The 13,098-nt window shown below is 43.3% G+C and overlaps 1 protein-coding gene across 4 annotated transcripts in view; it reads left to right on the top strand.

Moving 5' to 3' along the window:
• The window catches only part of VSTM4 (V-set and transmembrane domain containing 4), a 101,287-nt gene that overhangs the window by 42,107 nt on the left and 46,082 nt on the right, over window positions 1–13,098 (top strand). For all 4 annotated transcript variants that reach the window (XR_001747052.3, NM_001031746.5, XM_047424711.1 and 1 more), the window contains exon 5: window positions 8,680–8,713. Coding sequence is in view for 3 of the 4 variants with exons in the window: in NM_001031746.5 (NP_001026916.2) it covers window positions 8,680–8,713 (34 nt within the window). In the remaining variant the exon portion in view is untranslated. The remainder of the gene's footprint in view (window positions 1–8,679; window positions 8,714–13,098) is intronic.

The following is a 13,098-nucleotide window of genomic DNA, read 5'->3' as shown; positions in this document are numbered from 1 at the left end:
TATGCAGAGCAGTGGCAAATTGCCCAGATATTGCTCAGGACCCATACCCCACTTCCTCTGAATCTAAGCCCTGTACCTTCCACTGCAGGGCCATAGCAGAAGCCGTCCTCCCAGAGCCTTGGCACCACTGCAAGGGGTTTTGAGGGTGTTCCCTCCCCTAGATGGTGCCCAAGAAGGTTGCTCAGGCTCAGGTGGTGTTCCAGAAGCAGATTGGCAGGTAGATTTGCTGGTAGATCTGCATGGATCTGTAGATCCATGAGGCCTGGACTGTTCCTAACTTTTTTTCTCTATGAAATTTAATAACAAAAATGATATGATAGGACAGAAAGGATATGATAAATATGGCCTTGTTTTAAGGTGGTCAAGACTTCCTTCCTGGCTTTGAAGGTATAACTAAGAATAGTTGCCTTTCCTGTCAACACACACGGGTAATCCCAAAATGTTCAAGGTATCTCTTGCTGAGTAACAAATCACCCAGGAAGTAGTGGCTTAACACAACATTTATTTGTTCAAGATTCTGCACTGGGCTGGGTGCAACTGGGTGGTTCTTCTGGCAGTGTCACCTGGAGTCATCTGTGTGTCTTCAGCCACCTGAAGTTGACCAGGACTGGAGATCCAAGGTAGTGCCACTCTCAGCCCTGGGGCCTGCCTCTGAGACAAATAGGACAGCAGGGCTGGTGATATTTCTCTCCCTGTGGTGTCACCAGCAAGGTAGCCATACCCCCCAACTTGCTCCAGGCTCCAAGGACATGCCTAGACTGGACGCTGGCACTGTGTCACTCTCCCACATTCTATCAATTACAGCAAGTTGTGAGGACGGGCCAGACTTAGGGAAGAGGAAGAGTGATGAGGAATGTGTGGTTATCTTTAAATCACCACTCAAAGGAGACTTTATTGCTGTCTCTTCTCACTGCCAGGCCCAGTGGGAAGCAAGGGAGGCCAAGCAAGCAAGGAACAAGTTTGAGGAGGATTAAGGGATACTGCCCAATCATTCCTGGTGGCTGGGGCATAACTGCGACCACCTGTGGGGCCTGAGGATTGGTGGTGCTGAGCTGTTACCCCAGCAACCAGCTGGTTCCTGAGGAGCATGCCCTATTTGCATCCAAGCAGGTTTAGAAGGGGTTTGGGCCATGGGGCTGACAGTGATTCTAAAGTCTTAGGCTCTGGCAGGTACCAGCTCTACAGCAGGCACAGGGCACATCCCCCCATGTCAGGCTGCACCGCAAGATGCTCCTCCTTTTATGGATTAGCTGAAGGTGGCCATGGCTCTCATTGGAAGCAATCAAGCATTTGTAGACCAAGCCATGTGTGTCCAAAGATCCCACTGATCCTCAGAAATGACATCACTAAAACCTGCAACACTCTTAACTTTCAAATATAACATATTCTGTCATTTAATGCACTGCACTATAACAAACTTTGCATCACCTTGATTAAAATTAGTAGTACATCTATACACTACTGAGAACAGTGCTTGGTTTGAGGAAGATACAGGCCCTTGTTCTGTTCATGGTTTCCAGTCTCTCTATGCAGTTGTATGTTTGTTGGGCTTCCCTCATCCTGACCACATTCAGGAGACCCAACCCCTCCTGCATGTGTGGGAGCTGAGGGCATCAAGGTATGCAGGCTGCTTACACACATGTGGACAGGAGAGCTGAGCCCGGCACCTGCTCTCCAGCACCTGCAGCAACATCTGCCTGGAAAGAGGACATCAGAGTAGCTGGTCCCACTCCGGATGCAACCCCCAGTGGGACCTTGAGATAAACACAGCCCATCCCAGGAGCCAGGAGGCCACAGGCCAGCCCCTCTTCACTCTCAGCCTTGCTGCTTCTCTGCCCTCACCCCAAGCCTGGCACTGCTTTGCCTCTAAGGGCGCTCAACATTCAGTGAGCTGGAGCTGATTGCACACATATGTTGCTTGCCAAGCACAAACATGTTTCCCCTTCCCTCCTGAGCCTCAAGTCTCTGTCCTTGCTCTTTGTTGTGCCCGCAGTGCCAGGCACCTCATCCCAGGGCCTTGACAGCACTGAGTCATCCTGGAAAACACCAGCCTGGAATTATTCTTCTGGTTCCTCAATCATACTTGTTTCCAAAGGCTTTTGCTTGTTCGCGAATTAGTCCTGACCTGCTGCCTTGGAGTGGCTCCAACAATCCAACCTTCTGTGTCTGAGCTTTTAAATGTGCAGTTTTTAAGGCACAAACTCGAACTAGATAGGAAAGAGGAGTGGCCTGGCTTCTTTCTCTGTACTCATCAGTGTGAGCTGTGATACTGTTTGGTTTGCACAGATTGTGCTAGAACTGGAAACAGAACCTCCCAAGGCTTGTTAAACACCCATGACTCCCCTGTCCCAGGCACTCTGCTTCTCCATGAGGATGAAGCTAAGGGCCTGTGGCTGTTCCTTCCAGAGAGATGCAAGAAAAGGGAGCTGGAGGTTACATCCCACCCACAGCCAGACTCGGGTGGGGAGGAGGCCTCCAAGCACAGAATGGGGTGGCTGTGGATGAGGAGCAGAGGATGGCCTGGGGCCTTTGAGAGGAGGAAGGACTCATTCATCTGGAGTCAAATACCTGGACAGCTGGAGCGAGATCTCTCTGGTTCTTCAGTGGGTGCCGGGAGGCTCAGCTGGCTCTCTGGTCAGGCCCCCTGAGCACCCATCTTTCCTTTGTGGGGGTTGGTTAGCCTCCCTGGAGCACGGGACTTGGAGCCTAGATTCAAGCTCCCTTATTTATAAAGTGGGTCTTCTGAACTCCTGACTCTTCTCTAACATTGGAATGAAGGTTCCTCTTACCTCTTGGGGCTGTGGGAGGTACTTTCACTGTGCTGAGTGACTGCCGTTCCTGGCATGGGCAGCTGCAGGGGCACCTTCTCATGTGCAGGGCTCATCCTTCCTGGGGTGCCCCTTCACCACTGGCAGCCCAGCTGCTCAGACAAGTGAAGGCCCTTTTCATGATGCCCCCTAGAAATATGTCAGCCATACAGGTGATCTGACCATTTTTTTTTTTAGTAGTCACATTCAAAAAGGTAAAAAGCAACAGGTAAAATTAATTTTAATATTTTTACTTAACCCACTGTATCTGGAATATCATTCCAACAGTATCAACAAATAAAGATGATGAATGAGATATGTCATATTTCTTTTTTTTTTTTTTTTTTTTTTTTTTTGAGACGGAGTCTCGCTCTGTCGCCCAGGCTGGAGTGCAGTGGCGGGATCTCGGCTCACTGCAAGCTCCGCCTCCCGGGTTCATGCCATTCTCCTGCCTCAGCCTCCCAAGTAGCTGGGACTACAGGCGCCCGCCACTACGCCCGGCTGATTTTTTTGTATTTTTAGTAGAGACGGGGTTTCACCGTTTTAGCCGGGATGGTCTCGATCTCCTGACCTCGTGATCCGCCCGCCTCGGCCTCCCAAAGTGCTGGGATTACAGGCGTGAGCCACCGCGCCCGGCCGATATTTCTTTTTTTATGCTAAGGTGTGGCTTTATCATCTGGTGTGATCTCACACTCCAGCACATCTCATTTTGGATTCATCACATTTTGGGACTTGATAGCCACCTGGAGCTCATGGCTGCCATGTGGGACTATGGGACCCTGGACAGACAGCTGTGCATGCTGGTCCTTTGCATGTGAGAAATGTGGCCTCTAAGTGGCTTTTTGTGCCAAAGGGGCAGGAGGTGGAGGACTTGCTTCTCCTCAGCTTCCCACTTGGTGATAGAGGTGGTCCTGTCCTTATAACTGTAGGCCTGGAAGGTTGTCCAGGCAGGACTCATTCCTGGAGGGGGCTGGGCTCTGGGGCCTGACATGGTGGAAACAGGGCTGTGTGTAGTAAGGGGTGCACCCTGGTCCTTTCTCTCCCACTGGGTAAATGCAGGCAGGGGCTGTGGGTTGAGCCCTGAATGAGGGAGGTGCTTTCTCAGGCTGCAGGGCTCCCAGCCTGTGCTGGGCTGCAGGAGATGGGGAGAGTACTGTGGTCCTTCACTCTGAAAATGCTCCTGGGTGCTTACTGTGCATGAAGTACTGTGACCCCTTGCAACGCCAGGGTTGCCACAGTCCTTGCCTCGAGTGCAGACACTTGATGGATACAGCAGAAACATCCATGGGTCCTATTGCGGGGCCTGTGCAAAGCCTGGAGGTCAGAAGACGTGGCCAGGGCATAGGGGTAAGGTGGGTAGATATCAACCATGCCTTGGAGGTCCCAACACTGTTACGGGGCCTGATAAGATGGGAGTAAGGCTGCCTCCACCTCAAATCACCCAGCTTGGGGTGGCAGTGGTGATAGGGACAGGTCTAGATGGGGAAGACAGAGCCTTCAGGCTGGACATGCCATCTGGGAGGTTTGCCATGGGGTGAGAGTGTGAGCAGCATGGTTTCAGCTGAAAAGAAGAAGAAAGGGTGGGGGTGGTAGGGAGTGGCCCAGGGCCTGCTTCTTCTTATCAGGAGAGGTTGCAAAAATAAGCCTTCCTTTCAGAGTCTTCAAAGTCCTAAGGATCCTAAAATAACCATTTGAGAACACGTCCTGAATGTTCACCTCTGTGCAGGACGGTTGCTTCTAGGTCAAGTGCCTGGTGCCAGGCCACAGCCCACGGGGTGTATTGGCTCCATTACGCACCCTTTATTGGCTGATTCTCTTCTTGGTCTCCGGCACTTTCCAGTGGGTTTCCTAGGATCACCTCCCACATAAACTCTTGACACTTGAATCTTTTTCTTAGGATTTCTGCTTCTTGGGGAGGCTAATCTGGGTTGGCACACTTCGGTAAATATTAATAGCACTAATTATGCTATGCATATTTAAGGGTGACTCTCAGTGAAGTCTATTTCTCAGGTGCCTGTAAACCTCATCTTTGATGTCCAGAATCACTTTTGATCCTGTGGGCAGTCCCTCTTAATGGGACCATCAACCCCACATACATGCTGCCGAGATCTCAGAACGGTGCCTCAGCAAGCGCTGGCAGGGGTGCATCTCCTGTACCCTGGCACTGTCTGGCCTCATCGGGCTCCTGGCCCTTCTTAGTCGGCTCCCTGCCTCCGGGGAACCCTGCAGCTGCTCTACTGTTCCCTGCATTCCTGATCTCCAGGCTGCTCACCTTGCTACCTCGAGCACTGGACTTATCAAAACACCGGTCAGCTCATGGGATTATCTTGGGTCCCAGTACCATCTCTGCTTGGCTTCAGCTGTGGCACAGTGGTCTGGCCATTTCTTCTGTGAGACTCTATTTCCCCACCTGCAGGACCCCTGACGCCAGCTGCCCAGTGTCTCTGAGAATGGTGCAGAGTACAGTTGGTCCTCCCTATCCACAGGTTCTGCACTGAGGATTCAACCAAACTCGGATAAAAAATATTTGATTAAAAAACAATTAAAAATAACAATACAATAATACAAATCATACTGATGAAAAAAACATAACAATGGTTTACATAGCATTTACCTTGTATTATGTATTACAAGTAATCTAGAGATGATTAAAAGTATACAGGAGGATGTGCGTAGGTTATATGGAAATACTACTCCATTTTATATAAGGGTCTTGAGCATCTTCGGATTTCGGTATCCTTGGGAGGTTCTGGAATCAATGCCCCAAAGATATGAGGGATGACTATAGTTACAAGAGGGCTCTGGAGCCAAGCTGCCCAACTTTGGCACTTCCCAGGTGTATTAGGTTGCGGAGGCCGCCACAGCAAAGTACCACATACTGCATGGCTTTAACAACAGAAATTTATTATCTCACACTTTTAAAGGCCAGAAGTCTTGAGATCAAGGTGTCAGCGGGATTCATTTCCCCTGAAGCCTCTCTCCTGGGCTTTAGAGACCGCTGCTCTCCCTGTGTCTTCACATGGTCTTCCCTCTGTGCCTGTCTTTGTTGCAATCTCCTTCACTTTTAAGGACACTAGTCAGATTAGATAAGGGCCCAGCCTAATGGCCTCATTTTAACTTAATTACCTCTTTAAAGACCCTATCTCCAAATACAGTCACATTCTGAAGTACTGAGGATTAGGCTTCAGTTAGGCTCAGTGGAGGAGACATAATTCAGCCCGTAACATCACCTGAGTGACTTTGGGCAAGTTTATTAACCTCTCTGTGCTTCAGTGTCCTCCGCTGTAAGATAAAAGTAATGACAAGGCTACTGTGAAGATTAAGTTAGAATGCAAAGTTGTGGTCTTCAAACTTTTTTGCTTGCATAGTTCCTAAAATAATTTCAAAAACTATGCACTCAATCATTTTTTTGTTGACATCTAAACTTTTTCATCATAAATGTAAATTGTTGCGAAAGATGTAATTTCCATCTTTGACATCTTAAAAATGAAATGATTAGATCCATCTTTCTTTCACATCTAAATGTCTTGAATTTAATGACTGTCTTCATTTATTTAAAGCCATCATGAGAAAAAAAGTACCTACCCAAACAAGTTTTAACTGTTAGAAATTTTGTATTGTTCCTTCTTCTCCTTGAATTTTTATCTTCAGTACACTTCCCCACAAAATTTCATCCTACTGTAATACATCTTTTGTTTTGAAGGTTCTTTATTGATTACCCTATTTTACTTATCTGTAAGATAATATGTGTGTACAAATTTAAATTAATAATTTTTTAATTTCCTCATTTCATAAGTGTCTGTTAAAATATTTTTTAGATTGACTTATTAGTATTGCACAATTAGTAAACTTTGGAAAATTAGCATAAGATTAATCAAGATGACATAAACATATCATAAATTTAGATACATAATAGCCATAAAAAGCAAAATTTATTGGGAATGCATTTTTATTGAAATTGATTTTTATTTTTACTTCATATACCCTGGTATGAATTTTTTAGGGATAAAATTTATCATCAATTTTGTTAATAGATATTAGCTCTGAAATACTTCAATATAAACAGAGTATGAATGAATGAATGAAATTTTCTTATACTCCTCAATTTTTAGAACTACTTCCAAGGTATATGTCAAAAGTCACATCATGATTTATCATCCAAAATGATTTTTAATACTCTACCAGATGACAATTGGATTAGGTCATTATTCAATCCTTGTTGAAAGCAAAGTATTAGAAACATCCCCCCCTTGTGAAAGATTTAGTTGCCTAGTTAATAATTTGCTTTATTGACACAGATATTAGTATTTTACATTAATTCTTGTTTGATGTCTCATTTACGTTTCAATCTGGGACAGGTCTCCAGGATGGTGTGCTTTGATTTTATGAATAGAAAAGGGTGATGTTAAAAGTGGGGAAGGGAAATGAATACGGCCAGACCTCAGGCATGTTCTAAGAGAATGCATTCTTAGGAAAGAATACCATGGGAGGTGAGGATGTTAAGGTGATTCCTTAAAACTGTTTTGCCAAAGAGTACCCAGGGGTATCCAGACCCTAGACTGAAGACCACTGATCCATCTAATAAGCTTAGAATAGTGCCAGGGACACATGAAATGTTCGATAAATACTAACTATGGTTGTTATTATTGTTGCATCTATAGATTATCTAGTATACAGTAGATGCTCGGTAAATGGAATACAGAAAGAGTTTAGGTATTAATAGGAGGCTGAACGAGATAAACCTGTACAGTTCCATTTGAAGCTGAGATTCTCTCATCTTACTTTGGAAGCTGCGTAACAGATCACCCCATATGTAACAGCTTAAAGCAACTATTATCTGCTCTCAATTCCACAGGTTGCCAGTTTGGGCTGGGCTTAGCTGACCATTTCTTCTGCTGGTCTCAGCTGGAGTCATTCATGCAGCTGCAGTCTCTTGATGCATTACCTGGGACCTGGTTGTTCGGGGCCTTGGCTGGGACAGCTGGTGTCTGCTCCGTGTAGTCTCATCTTCCAGTAGGCTAGCCAGGCTTCCTCATGTGGTGACAGAAAAATTCCCTGCAACAAGAGAGGGCAAACCCCATAGCACAGGTGTCTTTTACACCTCTGCTTGTGACACATTGGCTAATGTTCTCTTGACCAAAGCAAGTTCATATGGCCAAGCCCAGAGTCAGTTTGGGAGGGGGTACACATGGGTGTGGACACATACAAGGAGGTGTGATTCACTGAGTCCACTGATGTAACAATCTACCACACAATTCAAGGGTCCCCCTGGTTGTTTCAGCTTTACCTCTATTTGAAGTAAATTCAGCTGTGAACCTCAGAGTGGACACTTGCTGGATTATGTGCCTAGGTATTCTTACTTTTCCTCTGCAGCCAGAATCATTTGGTTTTCCTGTAGGAGGAGGTTTTGGTCCAAGACTCTTTTCCCGAGGGCCTCTTTTTAGTCCTGGAAGAGCATTAATCAGAGAATTCAAACTCATTTTTCAATGAGGAGCTTCTAAATGGACACGTTATTCCATCTGGCCTCAAGAGGGCTTTCTTATGACTCAGGCAGAGCTTAGAGGTTGAGTGACTCTATTACTCCAGGATCCCAACTTAACCTGCCTTGGCCCAAAATGAATACCCAGGAAGTCTGGGGTGTATGGCTTAATGCCTGGCTAGATCCCTGGCTGGGACATATCCAGTCACTGTTGTGTTCATGTGATGGCTCTGCTGTGCTCTTCCAAACAGAAGAATGCAAGTCTTGAGAGTTGGGTGGTATAGCACCAATACCTGAACAACACCTGGCTCCCGGCATTTCCTTGTAATTCCTGGAGCATATATATCTGAAGTAGCATTGGTTTACCATCTTCTATTATTTTTCCTTTCACAGTGAGACATTATTTGGTGAAATGCCCTCAGAACAGGTAAGAATATTTTCTTCCTTTTTTCAGATGAAACTCTTTGCCATTTAACTTTCTTTTGATATTACCAATAAATTGATTAAATTTGTAGTTTTACCTAAAAGTCTGCATATTTGTCCACAAATATGCCTGCAAATGTGTATCCTGCATGCATTTGCATGTTTCCAAGGTCTACAGTCTGGTTTTCACCCCCAGGGATCCAGAGAGCATGCAGCTTTTGCTGGCCCAGCAGGCTTGCTGGAGGAGGCTTGGTGTATGGTCCTGCAGAGCTGCTCCCCAGTTTAGGAAGGGGCTCACACTTGCTCTGAACCACTTTGATACATTTTGACCACAAACACCCCCAATTCTCTTCACCAATGCTGACTTACTGTATGCCCTGCTTTTAGCTGGTGAGGCACACTTTATAGGTAACATAATAGTTATAAGAGATAGTGCTAATTCAAAGCGTTTAAAAATTTGGGACTTCTGATCCAGACAAGATGGCATAGGTCAATTTCTTCCTTCTCTTTCCTGCTGAGTAAAGCTTTAAACCTTGGAAATAACATAAGAGACAACCAAATGAAGACTTTGAAAGGTGGTGAAAAGAAGGTAAACTGGTTTGGAATCCCAGGACTGGAGGAGTAACACAACTGCTAGACATCTTATGTTTTCCCATCCAACAGCAGAAGGTCACCCAGACTTGCTTTTTTCCTACTCCAATCTAGCAACAGAAAACATTCAGGTAAGCTCATTCCTCCCCTGGATCAAAGGGGAGTTCCCCTGAAAACCTCAAGTGAGCCCAGCATCAGCTGCAAAGAGGATGGATCAGGGGCTCCTCCCACAATGAGCACCAGAGGAAGAGCTCACTTTTTCTTCCAGGCTAAGACTCCCTTCCTCAACCAGGTGACACCAAGCCTTCAGGGAAGAGCCAGCAAGAGGCACCTAGACACAAAAGTGGCCCAGCAAGGAAGCTTCTTCATCTCCATGGGTGTGAGGCTTCTCTCCCCTACTGAAAAACATCCAGCTTCCAAATCTGAGGAAACTCTCTCTGTCCCCTCTGGCAGCACCAGCAGGGCCCAGTGGCACCATATAAACCAAACAGACCAAAATAATACTGTAAAGTCTCTGAAAATGAAAATGCCATTGGAACTATAGCCCATAGAAGCAGACCAAGATTACATGATAAACCTGGGTGACTGCCTACAAAAATAAGAGATTTATATAGGACCTGGGACCTTCTGACAAGCTACTATAAAAAAACCACCCATCATTTTAAAAACCACAAAAATCACAACTTGAATGAGAAGAGATAATAGATCAGATCAACACTGGGATGAATCAGGTGTTGAAATTATCTGACAAAAATTTTGAAGCAGTTTTTTTCTTTCTATGAGATGGAGTTTCACTCTTGTTGCCCAGGCTGGAGTGCAATAGCATGATCTTGGCTCACTGCAACCCTCCTAGATTCAAATGATTCTCCTGCCTCAGCCTCTCAAGTAGCTGGGATTACAGGCACCCACCACCATGCCCAGCTATATTTTTGCATGTTTAGTAGAGACGGGATTTCACCATGTTGTCTAGGTTGGTCTCAAACTCGTGACCTCAGGTGATCCACCCACCTCATCCTCCAAAAATGCTGGGATTGCAGGCATGAGGCACCACCTGCAGGCTTAAAGCAGTTTTTATTAAAAAAAAAAAAAAGATTCAATCATCAATTCAAATTATCTTAAAACAGTTGACAAAATAAAAAAATCTCAGCCAATAAAGAAAAAAACAAACATATGGAAATTATAGAACTAAAAAGTACAAAAACAGAAATGAAAAACTCACTGTTCGGGCTCAATAGGAGAGTGGAGATGTCAGTGGATAGTTTGTGAAGTGGATGACAGAGCAATAGAATTTATCTAATCTGAACAACAGAGAGAAAATAGACTAAAAACAAACAAAAAATGAACAGACATCAAGGACCTACAGGACAAAAGATCCAACATTCTATCATCAGAGTTCCAGAAGGAGAGGATAAACAGAGTGGATCTAAAACAGTATTAGAAGAAATAATGGCTGAAAACTCCCCAAATTTGGCAAAAGACAAAGCCCTATAGGTTTAAGAAACTGAGTGAATGCCAGGCATAATAATCTCAATAAAATCCACTTGAAAACACATGATAATTGAACAGAAAACAAAGTTGAATGACAGTGCATTTCTGCTCTGAATCCATGAAGGGCAGAAGGAAATGGCACATTTTTAAATACCAAAATAAAAGAACTGCCAACCCCAAATTTTATATCCAGCAAAACTGTCCTCCAGACATGAAAGGGAAATAAAGACATTCTCAGAAGAAGGAAAGCTAAAAGAGATTGTCACTGTCAGACCAACTTTAATGACTAAAATATAATCTTGAAACAGAAAAAAATGTTGGAGCCTTAGGAAGGAAGAAGGAATAATGGAAAGAGCAGAAATAGGAGTACATATGGTAGAGTGTTCTTTCCATGAATAGTCGTGAGTTTTAAAAATCACATTTGAGGATTTAAATAAAAATTATAGAATTGTCTGATGCTCAAGACAACACTGTTTAAAAGTGAGTGAGGCAAAATGACCTAAATAGAAGTCAAAAGTCCTGTCAAAGCAATGGAATGTTGGTGCCAATAGACCGTGTAAAGTCACATATGTGTATTGTAATGACCAAAGCAATCACTAAAATAACTTTGCAAAAACAATACACTCAGAATTCCTATAGGTAGATCTTAAAATTTATGCAAGTAACACAAAGAAACAGAGGAATGAGAATTACAGGAAATAACCAGAAAACAAACAATAATATGGTAGCCTTAATTGCTGAAATACTATTTATTTTAAATGTAAATGATCTAAATACATCAATCAAATTTCAGAGACTCACAGAGTGGATTAGAAAAATGACCCAACTGGTATGCTTTTTATAGGAAATTCACTTTATACACAGTGACGTAAGTAGATTGAAAGTAAAAGGATGGAAAAAGATATAACACACAAACAATAAAATAAATCAGGTGTGGATGTACTGTAGCTGATAAGATGTACTTCAGGGCAAAAAACCTTACTAGAGGCGAAGATGGACATTAGATGATAAAGGCTCAATCCATCAGAAAGACAAGTTTCCACATGAGTACAAGTCAAACAACAGAACCACAAAATTTAAACATCAAAAACTGAAAGAACAGAGAGAAGAAATAGCTAAATCTATAGTTTTGGTTAGATCCTTCAATTCCTCCCCCTCATCTACTGATTGACCTGCTGTAGATAGAAAATTAGCATGGTTATTGAAGATCTAAACAACACAATCAACCAATGGTGCCCAATTGAGACAGATCAAACACTCTAACCAACAGTAAAAAAACAATTATTTTTTCAAGGCTCCATGGGACATTCATCAAAATAGACCATATCCTGGGCTGAAAAACAAGCCTCAACAAATTTGAAATAATTGAAATAATAGAGAATGTGTTCTCTGAGCACAGTGAAATCAAACTAGAAATTAACAACAAAACGACTGCAGGAAAATCTCTAAATGTGGAAACAGTTTTTTGTTGAAAGTGACACACTGATTCTAGATTATATATGTACATTTTAAAAAATAACAAAGTCAGAGGACTTACAGTTCTTCTGTCCAAAACTTATTCTAATGCTAGAGTAATGGAGACACTGAAGTATTGATATAAAGTATATAGATCAATGTAGCATAATTGAGAGTCCAGAAATAAATCCTTATATTTATGGCCAACTGACTTTTGATAGAGATGGCAGGGCAGTTCTAAAGAGAAAGCTTTGTCCTTTTGACAGACAGTGCTGGGACACATGGGTATCCATATACAGAAACATAAACTGAGACCCTTGTCTCACATTGCCTCCAAAATTAACTAAAAATAGATCTTAGACCTAAACATAAAAGCTAAAATTACAACATTTCTAGAAGAGAACAGGAGAAAATCTTTGTGACCTTGGGTTGGGCAAAGTGATACTAAACACAGAATCCATAAATGAAAGAATTGATGTAATTAAAAACCTTTGCATTTCCAAAGACACCATTAAGAAAATGAAAAGATAAGTAAGCCCCATATTTGCAAATCAGATAACCGATAAAGAACTTGTTCCTAAAATATATAAAGACCTCTCACAACTCAATAATGAGGTGACAGATAACACAATTAAAAATGGGCACAAAAGATTTGAGCAGATATTTTCCTAAAGAAGATATCCAAATGGTGAGCAAGTACATGAAAGATGTTCAGTGTCATTACCTACTAGGGAAGTGCAAATTAAAACCACAGGTGATATCACTATACCCCCATTACAATGGCTATAACTCAAAAGACAGACAATAGCAATTTCTGGCAAAGATGTGGAGAAATTGGATCTTTGTACATTGCTG

The sequence above is a fragment of the Homo sapiens genome, chromosome 10, assembly GCF_000001405.40.
Source record: "Homo sapiens chromosome 10, GRCh38.p14 Primary Assembly".
In the NCBI taxonomy this organism is placed as follows: Eukaryota; Metazoa; Chordata; class Mammalia; order Primates; family Hominidae; genus Homo; species Homo sapiens.
Note: the sequence above shows the minus strand (reverse complement) of the source record. Positions and strands in the feature narration are given on the sequence as shown.